At 41.7% G+C, this 23,499-nt stretch overlaps 1 protein-coding gene and 1 pseudogene across 13 annotated transcripts in view, besides 1 other annotated feature; one reads left to right on the top strand and one right to left on the bottom strand.

Annotated features, from left to right (window-relative positions):
* Positions 1 to 23,499, top strand: part of SPIRE1 (spire type actin nucleation factor 1) — a 215,580-nt gene that overhangs the window by 188,294 nt on the left and 3,787 nt on the right. For 7 of the 13 annotated variants that reach the window (XM_005258122.5, XM_011525701.2, XM_024451224.2 and 4 more), the window contains 7 exons: positions 8,840 to 8,930; positions 10,305 to 10,447; positions 13,870 to 14,043; positions 19,315 to 19,452; positions 20,660 to 20,730; positions 21,286 to 21,313; positions 21,407 to 21,543. In XM_005258122.5, the coding sequence (XP_005258179.1) occupies positions 8,840 to 8,930; positions 10,305 to 10,447; positions 13,870 to 14,043; positions 19,315 to 19,452; positions 20,660 to 20,730; positions 21,286 to 21,313; positions 21,407 to 21,543 (782 nt within the window). Of the gene's footprint in view, positions 1 to 8,839; positions 8,931 to 10,304; positions 10,448 to 13,869; positions 14,044 to 19,314; positions 19,453 to 20,659; positions 20,731 to 21,285; positions 21,314 to 21,354; positions 21,544 to 23,499 lie in introns of all 13 variants that reach the window. The other 6 variants (NM_001394323.1, NM_020148.3, NM_001128626.2 and 3 more) reach the window with 2 other exon arrangements.
* Positions 8,472 to 8,630: a silencer, noted in NCBI's record as "fragment chr18:12465167-12465325 (GRCh37/hg19 assembly coordinates)". NCBI's record gives its function as "represses an EF-1alpha promoter that drives an FKBP-Casp9 reporter gene in an ReSE screen in HepG2 liver carcinoma cells {active_cell/tissue: HepG2}" and the evidence as "EXISTENCE:reporter gene assay evidence [ECO:0000049][PMID:32094911]".
* HMGB3P28 (high mobility group box 3 pseudogene 28) lies at positions 22,726 to 23,384 on the bottom strand (annotated as a pseudogene).

Genomic DNA, 23,499 nt, shown 5'->3' with positions numbered 1-23,499 from the left:
CACACAGAACAGTTTACTGCTTAAATAACCCTTATTTAGTTCTGAATTTCTTTGTAATCAGTTAATATATTATTGTAGATCAAATACTCATGAAATTAGAATGATGTTAATTATTTACATTATCAATTACAAACTCAACTGTTTTATATAAAAAGAAAAAACTCCTTAATTCTTTTAAGAACAAAGACACTGACTTGCTTTTTAATTAACAAAATATGAGCAATTTCCATTTGATTAAATGTCCTTTTCCAACATGATGCCTGATAGCTGTGTGGTATTCCACAGTAATAACCTACTGTATTTTATTTACTCAGTCCTCTATTTTTTAAGATTTAGGCTGTTTCCAGTTTTCTACCATTATAAAGAGCAACACTATTGTGAACATTATGTTTTTGCTTTCATTTTCCAGTTTTCTACCATTATTAAGAGCAACACTATGTGAACATTGTTATATTTTTGCTTTTGTTTCTTTCTCAATTTTTTTTTTTTGCCAGAACTGAATTTTCTGGGTGAAAGAATGCACATTTGTGTAGCTTTTGATACATACTGCTAAGTGCCTTAAAGAAAGCTATAATGAGCCAGGTGGGTGGCTCACAGCTATAATCCCAGCACTCTGGGAGGCCAGGCCAGTCAGATAGCTCGAGATCAGGAGTTTGAGGCCAGCCTGAGCAACATAGCAAGACCCCCATCTCTACAAAAATTTGGCTGGGTGTGGTGGCTCACGCCTGTAATCCCAGTACTTTGGGAGGCCAAGGTGAGTGGATCACTTGAGTTCAGAAGTTTAAGACCAGCCTGGCCAACATGGCAAAACCCCATCTCTACTAAAAATACAAAAAAAATAGCCAGGCTTTGTGATGCATGCCTGTAATCCCAGCTACTTGGGAGACTGAGGCAGGAGAATTGCTTGAACCCAGGAGGTGGAGGTTGCAGTGAGCCAAGATCACGCCACTGCACTCCAGCCTGGGCGACAGAGTGAGACTTCATTTGGTGCACACCTGTAGTCCTAGCTACTGGAAGGCTGAGGCAGGAGGATCACTTGAGCCCAGGAGTTAAAGGCTGTGGTGAGCTATAATCATTGCCACTGCACTCCAGCCTGGGTGACAGAGCAAGTCCCCCCCCGCAAAAAAAAGACCAACCACAGTGACTCACACCTGTAATCCCAGCACTTTGAGAGGCTGAGGCAGGCGGATCACTTGAGCCCAGGAGTTCAAGACCAGCCTGGGCAACATGGCAAAACCCCACTTTTACTAAAAATACAAGAACTTAGTCTGGCATGGTGGCATATCCCTGTAATCGCAGCTACTTGGGAGGCTGAGGTGGGAGGATCACCTAAGCCCAGGAGGTCAAGGCTGCAGTGAGCTGTGATTGTACCACTACACTCCAGCCTGGGTGGTAGAGTGAGACCCTGTCTCAAAAAAAAAAAAAAAAAAGCACAGGGCATGGTGTCGCTATAATGGTTTTGTATTGAGCTAACCCTGTGTTAGACTTTCATTGTTGCTGGGGTTTTTAGTTGTTTGTTTTTATTTTTTTATAGAGACAGGGGTCTTGAACTCCCAGTCTCAAGCATTCCTCTTGCCTCGGCCTCGCAAAGTGCTAGGATTACAGGCATGAGCCACCATGCCCAGCCTCTGTTAGACTTTAGATATAAATCAGTTTGTCTTCACAAAGACCATAGATAGCAGCTATGATCCTTGTATAAAATATAAGAAAACTGGCCATGCGCAATGGCTCACACCTATAATCCCAGCACTTTGGGAGGCCAAGGTGGGCAGATCACTTGAGGTCAGGAGTTGAAGACTAGCCTGGCCAACATGGCAAAACCCCATCTCTACTAAAAAGAGAAAAATTAGCCCGGTGTGGTGGTGCACACCTGTAATCCCAGCTACTCGGGAGGCTGAGGCATGGGAATCACTTGAACTCCAGAGGCGGAGGTTGCAGTGAGCCGAGATTGTGTCATTGCACTCCAACAGGGGTGACAGAGCAAGACTCTCTCCAAAAAAAGAAGAAGAAGATAACAAAACAGGCACATGAAATGGTTGCCTAGGTTCAAAGAGTTAGTAAATGATAAAGTTAGATTTGAAACCCAAGTCTGTCTAACTCTGAAGTCCATGTATCTCATGAACTTGCTAGTATTCTCACGGTACATGAGAATGCCTGAATTAAAGAAAAGAACAAAGGCTGGGCATGGTGGCTCACGCCTGTAATCCCAGCACTGGGAGGCTGAGGCGGACGGATCACTTAAGGCCAGAAGTTCAAGACCAGCCTGGCCAACATAGTGAAACCCCATCTGTACTAAAAATACAAAAATTAGCTAGGCATGGTGGTGCATGGTTGTAATCCCAGCTATTTGGGAGGCTGAGACATGAGAATCTCTTGAAGAGCAAGACTCTAGTGTCCAAAAAAAAAAAAAAAAGAAAGAAACCAGTATTTTTTTAACTGGAAGGGGCCTTAGAAATTTTGTCCAGCATCATTACTTTTCAGTGAGAAAACTGAGCCCCTAGCCAGGTAGAAACTGAGTTAGAAAAGCCATACAGTGTTTTAGTCACAGATCCCCTATAAAATTAGACCCCCACACCCAGACCTTCTTTCCATTACTCTTTTCTTCAGTTCCTGGAAACCTAACTTCAGTGTCTCTTGTTATCTTTAATAACCTTTGCTAGCCTATCTTGGTAACTTTTTTTTTTTTTTTTTTTTACTGAAAGATGAGTTTTGATTGTAGCCATATCAAAGCTTCCAGTAGGAAAGCTAAGCAAAGGAGCTGTGTCTGAGCCCTGCTTGATCCTCTTTTCAGGAGGAGGAAGATTTCCATTCCTGTTAAGTGAGTTACGTGCCCAGACTGGCCCCTGAAACTATACTCTGGCAGTATTCGGCACCAGTGAGCCCTGGAGCAAAGCAGCAGTGCGAGAGGCTTTCCTGCAGCCATGGTTCTGAGCTAGAGAAGCCCTAACTCAGTGAGGATCAGCCAGCCTCTGAGATCAGACAAAAAACACAAGCAGATTTCGGGAAGCAGGCCAGGCAGTAGAAGAGACTGATGTTCTAGAAATGTCAGAGACCCATCAGAATTCCCCAGATAAGCAAAAAGTGATTAGGCAGTTGGAATAGACACGAGAGGGTATGCAGCAAACAGGAGTCTGTACATGCACATGCATGTACCCACACATATGCACACACGTGTGTACTCACACACCCTTCTCTCAGGAGACCTGACTGTTAACAGTTCCCTGGCTCTCCTTCTGAGTGTCTAAGTTACCCAAGATATGCTAGCAGAGGTTAGTGTGATTCCTCTGGGGCAAGAACTAATCCTGGAGAAGATTCATTTTAAGCAATCAGAAAATTGTGTGCAGCTGCCTGTTGTGGGTATTCAGGGACAGTGGGCCATTAACACTTCTGGGGGAGCAACGTAAAATTTAAAACAATTCTTTATATCTGTAACATTTCAGTATATTGTATGTGCATTGGGTAATCAAGGTACATCAGATGCTAATGTCAAACCTTAGTTATTTCCTTCTTGGAAAAGCATTTTTAAAAAATTAATATACTGGCCACACATGGTGGCCAGTATAAGATTATGCCTGTAATCCTAGTACTTTTGGAGGCCAAGGTGGGAGGATCACTTGAGGCTAAGGAGTTCGAGACCAGCCTGGGCAACATAGTGAGACCCCGTCTCTACAACAAATGTTTTTTAAAAGTTAGCTGGGCATGGTGGCACATGTCTGTAGTCCCAGCTACTTGGAAGGTTGAGATGGGAAGATCACTTGAGCCCTGGAGGTCAAGGCTGCAGTGAGCCATGATTGCACCACTGCACTCCAGCCTGGGCAACAGAGTGAGAACTTGTCTCTAATTAACTAGTTAATTAATGAACATAAAAATTAATATGTTATGTGGTTTTCTTATGTTATTTTTAAATCTTGAGTATATGCTTTTTAAATAGAGAATGCACCCTCTGAGTGCCAAAATCTAGTACTCCAAATGTGCTTACTTTTGCCTCAGTTGCATCTATAAGAGTCTCATGAGACCTCGTAAAGTGTATATGTGTATATATATAATTATATTATATATAATATATAATTATATTTATATAAATATATTTATATAAATTATACAAATTATATATGTTATATATAATATATAAATTATATGTAAATAATATATTTATATAAATATAAATAATTACATTTATATAAATATAAATAAATATATAAATAATATATACTATATATAATATATATAATTTATATATATAAAGAGTAAGCATGAAATAAAAGCATTCAGCATTATTAGGATTTTAAAAAATCAGAATGTGGCTGGGCGTAGTGGCTTACATCTGTAAACCCAGCACTTTGGGAGGCCAAGGCGGGAGGATCACTTGAGGTCAGGAGTTTGAGACCAGGCTGGCCAACATGGCAAAACTAAAAATATATATATAAATTAGCCAGGCATGGTGGCACTTGCCAATAATCCCAGCTACTAGGGAGGCTGAGGCAGGAGAATCGCTTGAACCCAAGAGGCGGAAATTGCAGTGATCTGAGATCACACCACTGCACTCCAGCCTGGGTGAATGAGCAAGACTCAGTTTCAAAATAATAATAATAAATAAAAAGATTTTAAAAATCAAAATGTTACCTTTAAATTCACCTAAACTGAAATGTTAATTCCCCTAGAACCATATCTGCAAATTTTTAGTGTTACTTTAAAACGGAGATTCAGGAAAGACTTTCTTAGACTTTTATTTTCGAGACAGGGTTTCGCTCTGTCACTCAGGCTACAGGGCAGTGGTGTGAACACAGCTCATTGCAGCCTCGACCTCTTGGTCTCAGGGGATTCTCCTGCCTCAGCCTCCCAAGTAGCTAGGACCATAGGTGTGCACCACCACACCTGGCTATTATTTTCTTATTATTTTTTGTAGAGACAAACTCTCACCATGTTCCTTAGGCTAGTCTCAAACTCCCTGGCTTAAGCGATCCTCTGGCCTCAGCCTACCAAAGTGCTGGGAATGCAGGGGCGAGCTACCATGCCTGGCAGGAAAGACACTTAGTTTTGATTTACATTTTTGAACTGGAGAGGACTATAAAGAGTATTCCACCCAACCACATTTTCTAGATAAAAAAGATTCTGAGAAATGCTGAGTTATGCACCCAGGTTCTTCTGACTGATTAGAGTGGAACTGGCTCATTTGGGCATAGTGAAGCCTCTCGATTAAGTTGCTTTGCTTCTTCAAAGGATTTTCAGGACCATCAGACATTGAGTAGTCATTTTAAAGATCAGATGCAGTGGTGGAAAAATCCAATTTGGAGGTTTCATAGGACGTCACTGAGAATAAAGTCTGAATGAGAGAAAAGAGCCCCTTCCAGCAAAGCTTCCCTCCACTGCTCTCCATGTTTTGGAGCTCAACATGTACCTAAAAGGGACATGAAATATAAAGGAAACATGAGAGGACCACATCGCATGTACAGCTAGATGTTGCCATTCTTTGAGCTGAGTGGAAGTGTGGCCAGTGCTGGGCTGCAGTAGTGTGCTCCGGCTCCACCTCTTCAGATACAGATGATTGTGCTTCCTCATGTTTTCAGTTTTCTTTAGAATTTTAACATCTGTGGTCATAAAATCATTGATCTTTTTAATTTGCTTATAAAAGACTTCATTCTGACCTATTTGCTTATTTATAGAGCCACTTTTTCTCAGAGATAGTTTTCTTACAGAATTAAGTATGATATTTTCATTATACAGAATTTAACTCTAACTGGTTTCCACCCTGGAGTAAAGAAACGTGATCTAATTCTCCCTTAACACTAACAAAGGTAACAACGTGTAAAATTAGACTTTAAAAATATTTCTTTTTTTTTTTCCTTTTGAGATGGAGTTTCACTCTTCTTGCCCAGGCTGGAGTGCAGTGGCATGATCTCAGCTCACCGCAACCTCCACCTCCCGGGTTCAAGTGATTCTCATGCCTCAGCCTCCTGAGTAGCTGGGATTACTGGCACATGCCACCACACCCAGCTTATTTTGTATTTTTAGTAGAGACAGAGTTTCTCCATGTTGGTCAGGCTGGTCTCCAGCTCCAGACCTCGTGATCCGCCCACCTCAGCCTCCCAAAGTGCTGGGATTACAGGCGTGAACCACTGTGCCCAGCCGACTTTAAAAATATTTCTAGCGAAGGTGAGCTGAAGTACACGTGTGAGGCACAGGGATGGTTTCTGCTGTTTTAATCAGGGTAGCAGATAATTATTTGGGAAGTATTGTGTATGACTCCTCAGCAGATAATTATCTGGGAAGTACTGTATATGACTCCTTTGTTCCTTTTCTAAGAGACACTCTCTGCTTTTATTTCTTGTCTGACCTTCTGTAAACAGAAAAAGATTGTTCTAATTGCATGCTAGGTTTTTTGGAGATTACTATGACTGACCTACATCGTATCTGGGATAGAGGCTTTGCTTACAGTGCTTGATTTGGTGTTCATGATAAGTCCCAAAAGTGTGGAGGTCACTATTTAAACCTTTTTTGGGTTTTTTGGTTTTTGTTTTTTGAGACAGAGTCTTGCTCTGTCGCCCAGGCTGGAGTGCAGTGGCACGATCCTGGCTCACTGCAACCTCCACCTCCCGGGTTCAAGTGATTCTCATGCCTCAGCCTCCCAAGTAGCTGGGATTACAGGCGCCTGCCACCATCCAGCTAATTTTTATATTTTTAGTAGAGACAGGATTTCACCATGTTGGCCCGGCTGGTCTTGAGCTCCTGACCTCAAGTTATCTGCCTGCCTTGGCCTCCCAAAGTGCTGGGATTACAGGCGTGAGCCACCTTGCCCAGCCTAGCCCTTTTTTGTTTGAACTATGTCGTTTACGTGGCCTTTTTTTCCGCCCTGTTCTTTGACCAGACACTTTGTATTGTAGCTTACTTGAAACTAATGATTTCAGCAGTAGGTTTTAGGTGAGGCCAGTTTTTGGTGAACAGCGAATTCTTAAAAGTTACTTTATGCTGGGCTTAATACCTATGTGATGGGTTGATGGGTACAGCAAACCACCATGGCACACATTTACCTATGTAACAAACCCACACATCCTGCACATGTATCCCAGAACTTAAAGTAAAAATAAAACAAAAATTTTTTAAATTAAAAAAATTTAAGTCATTTTAGCTAAGAACATCAAAAAATTTTCACTATCTCACATAGTCATGAGTGAATATATTTGCCTAATTTTCTTCCTTTTGTATCTAAAAATGCCTATAGGCTGGACGTGGTGTCTCATGCCTGTAATCCCAGCACTTTGGGAGGCTGAGGCAGGCAGATCATGAGCTCAGGAGTTCAAAACCAGCCTGACCAACATGGTGAAACGCCATCTCTACACACAAAAAAATACAAAAATTAGCCGGGCGTGGTGGCACTCACCTGTAATCCCAGTTACTCAGGAGGCTGAGGCAGGAGAATTGCTTGAGCCCGGGAGGCGGAGGTCGCAGTGAGCTGAGATCATGCCACTGCACTCCAGCCTGGGCAACAGAGTGAGACTCCGTCTCAAAAATATATATATATCTATAGATACTAAGTAGAAATTACAAGTAAATGTTTATCTCGCATAGTATTTAGTAAATATTTCAGGAATAAATATTATACTTTATTTTTGTTTAGTCTAAAACAAGTTAGGATCTCTTCTCACTGGTAATAAGAATTTTAATTTTATTTGGCACGATGTAGACATTTTTCTTTTTCTTTTTCTTTTTTTTTTCTGAGACGGAGTATCACTCTGTCACCCAGGCTGGAGTGCAGTGATGCGATCTCAGCTCACTACAACCGCTGCCTCCCCGGGTCAAGCAATTCTCCTGCCTCTGCCTCCCAAGTAGCTGGGACTACAGGCGCGTGCCACCACGCCTGGCTCATTTTTATATTTTTAGTAGAGGTGAGGTTTCACCATGCTGGCCAGGCTGATCTCAAACTCCTGACCTCGTGATCTGCCCGTCTTGGCCTCCCAAAGTGCTGGGATTATAGGTGCGAGCCACCGTACCTGGCCCACAATGTAGACATTTTTCTAGACTCATATGACATTTCATGAAATGTTTATTTTTTCATCCATTCATTCAACAAACACTCATTACTTACTAAGTGATGGGTTTGGTACTGGACATACATCAGTGAGCAAGACAGACCCAGCATCTGCTCCCATGAGGCTGACAATGTATTACTTGTATAAATGTATTAAATATTTCCCTAATAATATTAACCACTGTTTTATTGTGTGCCAGGTAATGTGTTAAGCATTTTGAATGCATTACCTCATTTCATCTTTCCAATAACCCTATGGAAAAAGTGATATTAAATACCCTCTTTCACAATGATGAAACTAAGATAAGAAACATGCTCAGGCCAGGTGCAGCGGCTCACACCTGTTACCCCAGCACTTTGGGAGGATCGCTTGAGCTCAAGGCCAGCTAGGCAACATAGGAAGACCCTGTCTCTACAAAAAATTTAAAAATTAGCTGGGTGTGGAAGTGCACACCTGTGATCCTGGCTACTGGAGTCTGAGGTGGGAGGATCACTTGGGCCCAGAAGGTAGACGCTGCAGTGGGCCCAGATCACACCACTGCACTGCTACCAGAGCAACAGAGTGAGACCCTGTCTCCAAAAAACAGAAAGAAGCATGCTCAGTTTCACATCACTCTCATCAGGGCAGAGCCAAGGCACAAACCCAGACCTGTCTTGTTTGAAACCCCTTCTAGTTTGTCTTTTGCTTGCCTTGAACCTTTGACATACTTTGGTGCCTCATGTTAAAATAACTGTTTAATAATAAAATGTTATTACGTAGCACTAGAGCACAAATGTCTAAGAAGTCGATTTCTCCACCTGTACTTTGCTCAGGAAGAAACGCTGCACAAGTCGACCAGCAGCAGCAGCGTGTCTCCCTCTTTCCCTGAAGAGCCAGTCCTGGAGGCCGTGTCCACAAGGAAGAGTGAGTAGTTGTGGTGCTAAGAGCTGTAGTCGGATGTCTTACTACAAAACACACTTGACCTAGAGCAGAGATCCCAGAGCGCCCTGTGATCATCTAGGGTAGAAAGAACTAACTCAGGCATTTCACTGATCGGGAGATGAAATACTTATTTTCCAAGAGTGGCATCATACCAGGCCTCGGGGTCTTATGACAGAGCAGGCACATGTGTGTTTACGAACAATAGTCATGGGAAATATTATAAATCAGTTGTGTGTGTAGCGTTCTGTTTTGTTTTGTTTTAGATAGATTACCTCCTTGGCTAAATTTAAACCAGAAGCCCAACACAACCATATTTATTATCATTCCACCTACCACCCACACACACCCATCTCCAAAAACCTGTGTAGATAGTGAAAACACCTTTATAACTCTTTAGGAGATAGATTCTGAACACAGATATCTAAAGTTAAGGGATTTCTAAAGGCTTTTAATAATCCTTTTCATTTATAAGAACATTATGAAGTATTAAAAATTATATATTGGCTTGATTTCTCATACACAAAAATTCTTTAAGTAGTTTTATTATTTACACAGATTATATCAAAAACAGTAGGTACTGACTATCCACAATTGGATATTATAGGGACCCAATTGAATCACATAATGGATTTCTGTATCTTTTCTTGACTGTGGAAATTATATCTGTGTTTTCCTTTAGTGGTTTCTCATGGTGGGACAGTCTAAATAGATGGATCATATGTAACTTTGTGTTGACTCTCACTTTCCACACCCACTACATTGAAGCAGCTCTACTCTGTAGATAGAGTAGGAGGAAGCACTAAATAAAACTCTGGCACCATAATTTATTTCTAATGTTCTCCTTTTGTTTTCAAAATGGGAATCCAGAACCGTTCAGACACTAAAGCAGTCTCCTTTTAAACAGTCTTAAAATATTACTAGGCAGAGAAGGACAATGGTACAATATTAACATCAAAGCTGAAGCTTACTTTTTGCAGTTTAAATACAGTTTAATTTAAACCTAAGGACAAAATGTCTTGGTAAACATGTAGAAAGAAGGATTTTCCTTATTTTATCTTTAAAAAGGAGAATGTAAAAAGAGGGTACATTGAGAATTTTGGTATGATTTGGGAATCTTTCTGGCTACACCTAACATTTTTCCTTTTTTCTTGCTATTTCTGTAGCAAGTTTACTTTGCAAAGATTCTTCTGTAACAGCCCTCAGAGTCTACTCCTAAGGATTACCATTACCATCTTAAAATATCTCTCCAATGAAATAAATAATTCATCTTTGAATTACAGTGTTTGTCACAAATGTCAAAAGGTTTTGTGTTAGAAAATTCACAGTAAGTTTTATTTCATTTGGTTCAATCTTTAGAGCCTCCAAAATTCCTGCCCATATCATCAACACCCCAGCCAGAGAGACGGCAGCCACCCCAGAGACGACATTCCATTGAAAAGGAAACGCCTACTAACGTGAGGCAGTTCCTGCCGCCTTCCAGGCAGAGTTCCCGCTCTCTTGTAAGTACAGGAAAGACTTTGTAGTAACTTAGGGACCAGCTAGAAGACATAGAATCATTAGCTTTCTTATGAAGATGATAAGGAGAAAAAAACTTGCAAAAGTTAGAATGAATTTTGAATAACTTACTTAATAGCTAAAGAAAACAAACAGCCAGGCGTGGTGGCTCGTGCCTATAATCCTAACACTTTGGGAGGCCAAGGTGGGAGGATTACTTGACTCCAGGAGTTCAAGACCAGCCTGAGCAACATTGTGAGATCCCGTCTCTGCAAAAAAAAATAATAATAATTAGCCAGGTGTGGTAGTGCACACCTGTGGCCCCAGCTGCTTAAGAGGATGAGGTGTGAGAGGATCATTTGTGCCCAGGAGGTTAAGGCTGCAGTGAGCTATGACTACACCATTGCACTCTAGCCTGGGCAGCAGAGTGACACCTTCTCCAAACTCTATCCATAACCTAAACGAAACTTGACCAGTGTTTGTTCATTTTGAGCTCTTTTTTTTTTTCAAGAAAATTTATCAGTGGTTGAAAGTATGGATTATTATTAAAGAAATGCTTTCTTTCTTTCAAAGGCTATTAATCCATTTAAAAATTGTTAAAAATTGACCAAAAAAACTCTTAGCAAAATGACTACAGTAGGTGATCTTATTGAGGCAGAAGTACAAGCGAGGGAGAATTTTGATCCATTAATAACTACTGTACATTGTTTTCTAGTATGTTTTGTGATATTTGGGGCCAGTGGTGTTATTTTGGTTGAACTGGTTTATAGTTTTTGCTGTTTTCCAGAGACTTGCAGGTTCTTATAGTGGGTGCTCATTTCTCAGGACAGTGGGCAGCACACAAGGGTTTGCCAGGAGGAATTAGTAGATCTCCCAGCCAACAGAGGTCTCCAAAGACTCTTTTGTAGCGCCACTTGGCTTCTGAAATATTTGTAGGCAAGATGCACAGCTGTAATTAATATTCTACCCACAGTCAAATATCTAATGTGTTTTCAAATATTCATGAATAAAAAATAATAGAATATATTGAATACTAAGTCCATTTTTTAAGGCTGTGATGAATTATTAGAGTTTCAATTAAAGTAATAACAGATGGGAGATAATGCGATTATTGTGAAGACAGGGATTTTGAACAGAGCTTAGAATGTTAATATTTGGTCATTCATCTCTATGCCAAAACAGTGCAATTAAAGAACTAATGATTTTATGGCGATTCCTGATAGGATTCTTCTAGCTCCAGAATAATCACCAAAACACAGCTATTCGATTAAATATAGCCTTGTCAGTGACTTACCAACAAGAAAACAGAACTCTGACCAGACAGATTCAAACGTAAAAATCTAAAAATTTGTTTTCATGTGAATAAGTTATTGCTTTTACCAAAATATACAGCTATTATCACAACTTTAAAATATGTAAGAGGGTCCAGGCACAGTGGCTCACACCTGTAATCCCAGCACTTTGGGAGGCCAAAGGAGGAGAATCGCCTGAGGCCAGAAGTTTGAGACCAGCCTGGGCAACTTAAGAAACCCCTGTCTGTACAAAATTTTTAATTAAAAACTTAGTTAGATGTGGTGGCGCATGCCCGTAATCCCAGCTACTCAGGATGCTGCAGAGGGAAGATCCCTTGAGCCTAGGAGTTTGATGCCACAGTGAACTAAGAATGTGCCACTCCACCCCAGCGTAGATGACACAGCAAGACCCTGTCTCTAAAAATATATATACACACATATGTGTATGTGTGTGTATATGTGTGTGTATGTATGTATATACATATGTATGTACATACATATACACGCATGTATGTATATACATATGTACGTACATACCACACATATGTATGTACGTACATATGTACGTGCATACACACATATGTATGTACGTACATATGTACATACATACACACATGTATGTATATACATACATACACACACACACACATACATGTGTATAGGTAAGAGGGAACTTGTGGTTTTTTTCATAAGTCTAATCATTAGGGTATTCTCTTCTTCACTCAGCTTTTCCTAGAAGCCAGTCTATCATTCAGCTTGTAACTGGCCTTTATGTGATCATACAATGTCATTATTGAGGTTAGACTTAAAGTTTAAAATTAGCAATGTAAAGGAACTATCAGCTTAGCTACAAGGTAGTTTCAGCTTATAATAGAAGTTATGCTGAGACCTTCAGCTGACCCCAAGGGCCCATGACTGTGTCTGTTTCCTGTTAAAGCAGAGCTCTTAGTGTTGCGAGGTCAGGCCGTGCACTGTTTTTTTGTGGAGCAGGAAGGAGAGCAAGATAAACTAACTTGCAATCACTGAGGAAGGTCTCAGTGAGCAGGCAGTGGGAGAGCCGCTCTGCTCAGCACTGAACAGTGGTCAGATTGAGGGCAGGGAGCAGAGTCCACGCAGGCCTCCAAGCACCAGCAGAGACGAAATGATCTTCCTTGCTAATAGCTTATCTTGGGAAATCCATAAAATCATACCTTGTAGTAATGCCCTATAGCTTGGTAAGTATTGTTTTTATAAGTGTAATTAATTTTTAAATGTAGCTGCATTTTAGAAAACAAAGAATCATTTTGTATTTGTAACTCCTCAACTGAAAATGGCAGGAATGTTTTTATTGTTGATAATTTTTTTTTTTTTTGAGATGGAGTTCCGCTCTTGTTGCGCAGGCTGGAGTGCAATGGCTCAATCTCGATTCACCACAACCTCCGCCTCCCGGATTGAAGCGATTCTCCTGCCTCAGCCTCCCAAGTAGTTGGGATTATAGGCATGTGCCACCACACCCGGCTAATTTTGTATACTTAGGAGAGACGGGGTTTCTCCATGTTGGTCAGGCTGGTCTCGAACTCCTGACCTCAGGTGATCTGCCCGCCTCGGCCTCCCAAAGTGCTGAGATTACAGGCGTGAGCCACTGTGCCCGGCTGATAATTTTTATTTTTGTTGTATCTCCCTCCCTTTTCTTGTGATGTTTAAAATGTCATTTTTTTTCATCATTTGGTCAAATAACCGAGGGCAAATGCCCATCCAGTCTAAAGGCACCTCGTGTTGGCAGTACCTTCCTGGGGCAGGTGCAAGTGGCTGCCTGGCACATGTCCCCATGCTTTCTCAGGCACAGTAACGAGTTGCCTCTATCCTTCATCACAACAAGCCCCACTGAGGAAACTCAGAGTGTTTGCAGGACCCTAAATTAGAAAAATCCTTGCTGTGTGAACGCTGAGATTCTCCAGGAAGGACTTCGTGGTTTCATCACTGATTTATACGTGTGGATGCAGATGTTCGCACGGACTGTACCAGCCTCATGGTGTTTTTTGTTTTGTTTTCCTTTTGTGATCTGTAATCACTATGTGTAGGTCACTTGTGTTCAGCATTATTTTCTCCTTTTCTTTTCCCCCTGCCATTTTCTTTTTCCCTTATCTGTTGTTCAGGTTCCTAGGATAACCAGTGTATGGCCAAGGACGCCTTTTCGACCACTTTTTTCTACCATACAAACAGCTTCTCTGCTCAGCTCTCATCCTTTTGAAGCAGCCATGTTTGGGGTAGCAGGGGCTATGTATTATCTGTGTGAGAGAGCTTTTACCAGCAGGTGGAAATCCTCAAAGGTTGGCCTCTTTCTGCTGGGTCTGGGATTATTTCATTCTCTGTATCTCTGACGGTGACACCTCAACTGTTGCGTTCTCTGAGAATTAACCGCTTAGATAGCACTTTGCTTCCAATCATTGATTCCACCCTTGTGCAGGATGCACCGATCATGCCGTGGTCTCAGTTGAGGGAAATAACTGGGAAAGGACAACAAACTCAAAATGCAGCATCTGATGAAGGGGACCTGTGGGTGTTTGTCTCCTCGGGTGACCTAATTGTATAGCAGAGTCAGTGCTGCCACCTTTCTCCATGTGCAGCAGGCACTCTGAGCCCGTGGGGTGCATTCCTCCTAGGGCCTCCCCCCACCATCAGAAGAGTATTTGCTCACTCATTCCGTGAGCAGAGCATCCTCCTGCCAGGCCAGGTAGCCATGGTGGACTCCGCCCACCCACAGACACCTGCACAACCAGGGCATGGGCTCAGGAAACCTGTGTGCTCCCATCACCTGTCATGAAGCTGTGTTATGACAACCAGGGTGTGTACGTCACTTCTCTGCAAAGAGAAATTTCAAGTTTCCTTTTTAATGATGTGGCTATTTTAAATAATTCTGCATTATATTACTGTTTTTTGAGGTTTTTTTACACAGAATAATATATCATTATTTGAACCTTCACAATTCTACGTGAAATAAAAAGCTCTACGACCATATTGAAGCCTCTTCTGCCACCACGTAGCAGGTGCTCAGAGCAGCCTTTGTGCTACAGTAGGCAGGGCCTGGCTCTCTAAAGCCTTGGATTTACTAACCTTGTCCTTGACAGATGACCCCGCAGCTGGTTTCTTTGTTACTCTTTCTTAGTCATCTTGATATGGAAAGGAGACTCAATGTAAATAAGACACAAAACATTCCTTTCTCTGATCTTTGTCATGAAATGCAGGAAAAACCTCTGTCCTTTTTCCCGTTTTAGATGTGCTCTTGGGCAGCACGTGGTCAGGTGCCACGGTGGCTTTTTAACTCCTGTCACTCCTGCCTCTACTGAAGACCTGCTGGCATTTGATTATCAATTCTCCCCAAACAGAGATATCTGAACACTAAGGCCATATACCACTTTAGGCAAAGAAAGGATTCACTTTGAGTTTTGTTTGTTTGTTTTTGTTTTTTTTGAGATGGAGTCTCTCTCTGTCACTCAGGCTGGAGTGCAGTGACGCGATATCGGCTCACTGCAAGCTCCGCCTCCTGGGTTCACGCCATTCTCCTGCCTTAGCCTCCCGAGTAGCTGGGACTCCAGGCATCTGCCACCACGCCCGGCTAATTTTTTTTTGTATTTTTAGTAGAGACGGGGTTTCACCATGTTAGCCAGGATGGTCTCCATCTCCTGACCTCGTGATCCGCCCACCTCGGCCTCCCAAAGTGCTGGGATTACAGGCGTGAGCCACTGCGCCTGGCCTTCACTTTGAGTTTTGTAGTTGATTAAGAAGAGTAAACTTAATAGTTGCTGTTTTTATTTAAATTTGCCTCTCTTTGGTTTATTAAAAACTCAAAAAGCAATGGTTATTTTGGGTAATTTTCAAATACTGGTTAATTTATGAAGTTTTTACTAATCATGAACACTGTATAAAAGATGACTGTTCCCAGCCAGGCACAGTGGCTCACGCCTGTAATCCCAGCACTTTGGGAGGCCGAGGCGGGTGGATCATGAGGTCAGGAGATCGAGACCATCCTGGCTAACACAGTGAAACCCCGTCTCTACTAAAAATACAAAAAATTAGCTGGGCTCAGTGGCGGGCGCCTGTCGTCCCAGCTACTCAGGAGGCTGAGGCAGGAGAATGGCGTGAACCCTGGAGGTGGAGCTTGCAGTGAGCTGAGATCGCACCACTGCACTCCAGCCTGGGCGAAAGAGCGAGACTCCATCTCAAAAAAAAAAAAAAAAGAAAAAAGAAAAGAAAGGTGACTATTCCCATTTCTCTCTGTGGCACAATAACCAAAATTTTACATTATGCTGTCTAATCTCCGTGCTGCCTAACTGACCCCTCTTGAATGGTAAAATATAGCCAGAATAATCATCAAAAAAAAAAAACTCAACAATTTTAGTGACATGCATAGAAGTAAGTTTAAAGTCTTATAGCACATTGTTGTCTTCATTAAAGCGCTCTAAGATTTAGCTTCCCTTTCCTGAATCTGGGAGTCCCATTGACACATGAGCAAGCAAGGGAACTAGAGGTGCGCTAGTGTGGTTCTTTACCCGGCCACATCTGGCCACTCAAACGGGCCGAACACATGCAGTGGGAGCCCCAGGCAGTGCCGTGGTGGGGAAGGGCTCCCGCTCTAGCTGGGGCCTTGAGTGCCCTCCACATTCCAGAGTGCTAATAGCTCTGCGAGATCTGTGGAAGTTTAATTTGGCTTTGGAGATGTCGAATTAATATTTTTGTAAACTGAAAAAAATAATTAAAACTATTTTAGTAACTATTTATCATTTTCTTTTATGTTGCATTAAAGTTTTGTTGTCCTTGGGAAGTCTCCAAAATTAAAACATTAGCATTTGACTGGATGGAAATTATTTCACTAAAGGGTAATCTGCTTGAAAATTTTTAAAAAAGAACAAGAAAGCAAACAAAAATCTACTATTTTTAAATTATATCTCATGATGGCCAGGCGCGGTTGCTCATGCCTGTGATCCCAGCACTTTGAGAGGCTGAGGCTGGCAGATCACTTGAGGACAGGAGTTCGAGACCAGCCTGGCCAACATGGCGAACCCCCATCTCTACACAAAAATTAGCTAGGTGTGGTGGTGCACACCTGTAATCCCAGCTACTCAGGGGGCTGAGGCACAAGAATCACTTGAACCCGGGAGGCAGATGTTGCGGTGAGCCAAGATCATGCCACTGTGCTCCAGCCTGGGTGACAGAGCGAGACCTTGTCTCAAAACGAAAGAAAAATGATTATATCCCATGAAGTACTGGATTTTCATGTGGGTCAAAGCAGTGAGTTGAAAATATGCTTTACTAAGCCCATTTGTGACTCAAGACTGAAGACAGGGAGGTGCAAGCTGCCAGGTCTGTTGTGCCATGCTAGCGTATCCCTACAAATGAAAAAAATCACCATCTGCCTGAAGGGTTTACAGCCCAGTTATCCACATCATAAAGTCAGTTAAGTTGGTACCATCTGCTGTCTTGCTAGCACAAACAATAACAAATCTGGCTATCTGGTTATTTGCTACGTAATAAATCTAGTAGTGTTTCCCTGGTTATGTGCTAGATTCCCACATTATTTTGTTGCAGCATAGCCATTTTGTCATATCGTTAGCCATCAGAAGGCATACCCTACTTATACTCATCACTGATGAATAAAAATAAGAGCAAAACTTCTGAAATACATTAAAAGCTGAGAAATGCCATCATTCGGATGTATTCAGCCAACACTACTTACTTAGTGCACAGTTTTAATGGCCTAACCCTCAAAAAGGCCGTTTATTGTTCCCACCTAACACTACTCTTTTTCTGAGGATGGAGCAAAACAGAGTAGGTATCAGGCACGCTGATTTAATTCTGTCATCTCTGAAAGTAGTTCCTGTTGAAAGAGAAAACTGTGATCGTTAATTTTTTAAATGCGTATTTTAGGCATTTTAGAGCAAATGATATAATCTTTCTGAGTAAACTCATCCCCCTGTCCTCTTATACTAATAAGCTTCTCATGTTAAAAATTCAAATGCAGGATTTTTCCCAAAGCATTTTTAAGCAAATGTAATCTTCCTTAAGTTAGCTTGAACAGAGATGGTTTTGCATTGATTTTTAGTAAGAAGCAGTAGTTCTTCAGACTACTTTTTTAAGTAAAATGCTAATGTTTGACAAGTTTGCAACCTAGATTGATTTTTGTTTTTCTCTGATTGAAAGACAGAACTGATTGTTAAAACTCCATAAACTGACTGCATTCATAGTCATGTGCTTTCTCACTGGCGTGTTGGATTCCTGAGTGCCTGTGAGCGATGCTGTTGTGTGTGTGTGGGAGTGAATTATAATGTGTTTGTGCTGAGAACATTCAGTTTCAGTGTCACTGCACCACAATGGCCCCTTGCAGCCTGGCAGGGTCCGAATGCACAAGACTGTTCTGTCTTTCTCTGAGATCCACCAATCAAGTGCGGGGCCGGATGGGGAGCGGATGGGTGTGAGGCTCTTATTCAATGAGATCAGTTACATCAACATCTTCCGCAGCTGCTTGTAGGGAAACCATTAACACAAGACAGCCAACATAAATATTTATTATGAAATCTTTTACATTTCTCTAGTCTTTCCATTGCTGACTATACATTTAGCATTTGTTGAAAGTAACAACAAATCTAGAGAACTGTGGGGCAGCCTGGAGAGACTGCCTTTTGGATATAAATGCTCCAGTAGTTTCATGTTCCAGTTCCACTCGTACCATTAGGATTTGTAAAGGTGTGCTGATGTAACTGATCACTAAATAATGCTTGTCAGTAAAAATTACTAACCATCTTCTTTTGGCTATTCTGGGTACCACAAATGAGTTTTAAAAACAGGGCCAGGCCAGGCATGGTGGCTCACGCCTGTAATCCCAGCACTTTGGGAGGCCGAAGTGGGCAGATCACTTGAGCCCAGGAGTTCAAGACCAGCCTGGGCAACATGGTGAAACCCCATCTCTGCAAAAAATACAAAAAAATTAGCTGGGCATGGTGGCATGCACCTGTAGTCCCAGCTACTTGGGAGGCTGAGGTGGGAGGATCACTTGAGCCCAGGAAGTCAAGGCTGCAGTGACCCATGATCGCATCACTGCCCTCCAGCCTGGGTGACAGAATGAGACCCTGTTGTGGAAAAAAAAAAAAAGGACCACTGTAGATTTGCTTTTTATCTATTGGTATATAATGTACAACACAACACTAAGTAATGTCTTTTTCATAGGTGTAGAAGACAACTGACACAAAATTGGTTTAGAATAAAATTTTTTTCAAGATTTCAAGCCCTGCTTGAAATATTTCAATATAGCCCTGCTTAACGGAATAGAGTTACTTGAGTCAAAATACCTGAGCAAACGTGAGGAACTTTCATTTATTGGAAATTTCAGTAGATCACTTGGTCCCCACATGTTTTCTGCCATCTTTAGTCTTAGTGTAATTGGAAATGATGTGGTCCCCAGAGGGAGCCAGCTCTGCCCCAGTGGTCATTGGGAAACCTGTTCTCTTCTCTGAAGCTACTAATCAGGGGTCTGATCTGAAGGGAAATTTTGCACTTCCAGAACAGGGGGTAGGAATCTCTTATTCACGTGACATTTTGAATTTCAGGAGGAATTCTGCTACCCAGTGGAATGCCTCGCTCTTACTGTGGAAGAAGTGATGCATATTCGCCAGGTCCTGGTGAAGGCAGAGCTGGAAAAATACCAACAGTATAAAGACATCTACACCGCCTTGAAAAAAGGAAAGGTAGTGCTGTTTAAAGTTGATTGATCAGAAGAGTAGAAGGATGGCCAGTCCCATGCATAGTCTCCTGGGAGAGTTATCTGCTAGCCAGGTGGCACAGACTTTGAGGGGATTTGGGATGTGTGATGTTCATATCCTAGTAGACAGTACATGTGCTGTCTCGTTCACAAGAGGGGGCATTTTTGTTTCTGCCTTAGAAATCAAAACTGGAAGGTTTTCAAGCAACCATAACAAATATCGATATGTCTTCCTAAAACCATGCATGTGGCCAGGCATGGTGGCTCATGCTTGTAATCCCAGCACTTCGGGAAGCTGAGGCGGGCAGATCACGAGGTTGGGATATCAAGACCATCCTGGCCAACATGGTGAAACCCTGTCTCTACTAAAAATGCAAAAATTAGCTGGGCATGGTGGTGCGTGCCTGTAATCCCAGCTACTCGGGAGGCTGAGGTGGGAGAATCGCTTGAACCCAGGAGGTGGAGGTTGCAGTGAGCTGAGATTGCGCCACTGCACTCCAGCCTGGTGACATAGTGAGACTCCGTCTCAATAAAAAAGCCATGTGTGCATTTAGTCATTACACTTTTAAAGGATCTGTAAAGAAAATGTATCTGAGAAGGCCGGGTGCAGTGGCTCACGCCTGTAATCCCAGCACTTTGGGCGGCCTAGGCAGGCGGATCACAAGGTCAGGAGATCGAGACCATCCTGGCTAACACAGTGAAACCCCATCTCTACTAAAGATACCAAAAAATTAGCCAGGCCTGGTAGCAGGTGCCTGTAGTCCCAGCTACTCAGGAGGCTGAGGCAGGAGAATGGCGTGAACCCAGGAGGCGGAGCTTGCAGTGAGCCAAGATCATGCCATTGCACTCCAGCCTAGGCGAAACAGTGAGACTCCATCTCATAAAAAAAAAAAAAAAATGTATCTGAGAAACAGAGGAGGGTTTTTCAGAACCTTCTGCAGATTCCTTCCATGATGAGGAGACACTTAAGAGCTGTGGCCTTTTATTACCTTTTAAAATAGAATTATAATTAAATACAGAGCTACATTATCAGCATCACAGAGCCAGCTGTTATAAACAGGATTTCTGAATTGTCTTCCTCCTCTTGTCTGTTCAGCTTCCCCTATATATAGATGTAAAGCATATTCAAACATGGATATTAGGAAATTTGCTGTTGGCAATGTTTTTTTTCCTCTTAAATTTGTATTTTTTAGCTCTGCTTTTGTTGCCGAACCAGGAGGTTTTCCTTCTTCACTTGGTCTTATACCTGTCAGTTCTGTAAGAGGTAAGGTATTTTGTAATTGATGAAAAGATAAATTTAACAGTCGTAAGAGAAATACCAATTATCTTCCTTATTTCACCATCTTTCTAAACAGGAATAAAATTAGAAATGACTCACTCTGTTACGTTACCTTGTGCTATCCTTGTAGGTTAGGAATATTGATTTCTTAAGAGAGTGAGCCAAATATTTATTTGATATTGAACCTAGAAAATGTTTCTCTGTATGTTACTTCTTTTACATAACTAAGATCATTCTAATAATATGTCATGTTTGAACAGAAAAAAAATAAGATGTGATTATCATGTGATCCCTGGATAGACAAATAAGAAAATTCCAAACACATGTAAGTTGATCCTTTTATAGGAGACAGTGTAAGAGTTAAGTTCTGTAGATTATCTTTTTGGCAATTCAGTGTGTCAATTTGTTACATTCTAATAGAAGAAGGGAGAGTTATGCAGTTTATTGTGGAAACTTACAACTGTACTGCCATAGGCTTCTCTAACTCCCAGTTGCGTCCCCTGGTATCATGCCAAATAACATTTATGATTTTGTTTACAGGCCGGTGTGCTCACAGTGTTGCAAAAAGGTAAGCTAAGCTTGGTTCATTTATACTTGTGTTCCTTTTAGTGACTGCCTCTTTAACGGTACTGCTCATTGCCAGTTTTATTTGGGATAATAGATGCGGCTGCCCTCCAAACCATACTCCACTCTTCCTATCTTTTCATTGGGACCTTCTGCTCTGCAAAGAGGGGAAAGTAGTATGAGGTCAGAAAAACCCTCCACTGCCCATCATCGGCCACTTCGGAGCATTGCCAGGTGAGCAAGGGGCCTGGGTTGTCAAACCATCCTTTGCAGAAGAAGAGTTCTACTCTTGAGGACTGTGGTAGAGTGTTAGGGTTTTGGCTCGAGGGGTTTTTATTGGTTTGTTGGTTGGTTTTAATACAGTTTTACACACAAATCTCCAAAACTTCCCCAAAGGTAACTTTTCAAGGAATAATGGCTAGCTACTTGAAAGATACTTTCATCACAGAGTTTATATTTTTTTCTACTTTAGAAATAACTGTTTTACTGTGTCCTGTAAGAGTCATCTTTAAAACTGACCTTGTTTTCAATGGAGTTGAAAATTGGAATGTAACAGTCTCATCCTTTCCTCCTTGTCTAGTTTTGAAAGGAATCTGTTTAATCCTGTTTACAATGTTCTGCCATAGCTTTGACTGACTTTACTATTATTGTAAAGGCAGAAATAAAGCTTTATGCCAAGAGCTAATAATTTAAAAGAAAAAACATCACCTCAGTATCAGTCCCTTTGCATTTAGTGCAGGGTAAGTTTAGTGTTGGGCCTTAAGAAAGATGGAAGGAGGTAGGCCAGCTCAAGCCTCAAGCTGGCAGGGCCGAGAGGCTGGGCTTTGATCTACCAACCACATGTCCTGGCTCTGTGGACAGCGAGGCGAGGAAGCTGTGAGCCCAGCATGAACCTTGTGCCTGAAACGTCTGCCTCTGTGCTTGGGCTGCCTCCTCTGAGACCTCTGGGTGTGAATTTTCAGTGAGCTCAAGGCAGTGCACATAACAGCTGCTACAGTTTTCCATACTTAACTCTGAACATACTATAGACTACCCATTTATATCCTGTTTGGTTTAGTTAAAATAGTAAATAAGTAGATGATTCCTGGTTATCTCAGACATTCCTGGAAATATTTACTATGATGTTGGTCTGGTTATCTCCAGCTCCTTGGAATCCCAATAAATAATCGCACAAATACAGGGAATTGTTGGGGAGGGAGAAGCTTGTTTGATAAATACATAAATGATGAGAAAACTAGTCAAAATTTAGTTTTTAGGATGTGTCATGGGATTAAGATAAATTTACTTGAATTTCCCGTAGTCTGACCTGCCATCTACAGTTAGCTAATGTTCATTGGGAATCAGATGAATACCCTATTTTTCAAGAATTCTAGAAGGGTGGTTAAGAGTTTTTAGTATTATTTCTTTTTTTTTTTTCAAATGGACAGTCTCTTATTCATCCTCCTCCTCCTCCTCCTCCTCCCCTCCTTCTTCCTTTTCATCTTGTTCATCTTCATCTTCCTCTTCCACCTTTTTCTGGGCAACTTTAGCAGGACCCTTTTCTCCATCAAACTTTCCTTTCAACTTATAGTCAGAAACATCCTTCTCATACTTTTCCTTCAGCTTTGCCGCCTTAGTGGTGTAAGGCTGCTTTTCACTGTCATTTAAGTTATTCCGCATCTCACCCAGCTTTTTTGCCATGTCTCCAATAGAGATGCCAGGGTTTATGAATTTGATCTTGGGGTGGAATTCTGAACAGAGCAGGAAGAATCCAGACGGTGGCTTTTTCGGGGCATTAGGATCCTTCTTCTTGCCTCCCTTAGCTGGTCCATAATCCTTCATTTCCCAGTGGTAGTGTACTTTATCCACCTTTGCCATTTCATCAAATTTAGACTTCTCTTTCCCAGACATTGTCTTCCACCTCTCAGAGCACTTCTTGGAAAATTCTGCAAAATTGACAGAGACCGCTGGGCTCTTCTTCTTATGTTCTTCTCTGCACGTCTGCACAAAAAGGCATAAGCAGACATCTTGCCCTTTGGTTTCTTGGGGTCACCTTTAGCCATCCTGACTGTATTGTTCGATAGTCTGGGCAGTGCCTGTCTTAATAAGACATGTTTTCTGCTTTCTTTCCTTTTCTTTTTTTGTTTTTTGAGACAGAGTTTCGCTTTTGTCACCCTGGCTAGAGTGCAGTGGTGCCATCTCAGCTCACTG

This window comes from Homo sapiens, chromosome 18 (assembly GCF_000001405.40).
Source record: "Homo sapiens chromosome 18, GRCh38.p14 Primary Assembly".
In the NCBI taxonomy this organism is placed as follows: Eukaryota; Metazoa; Chordata; class Mammalia; order Primates; family Hominidae; genus Homo; species Homo sapiens.
The sequence above is the reverse complement of the archived record's forward strand: the minus strand, read 5'-3'. Positions and strand labels throughout refer to the sequence as shown.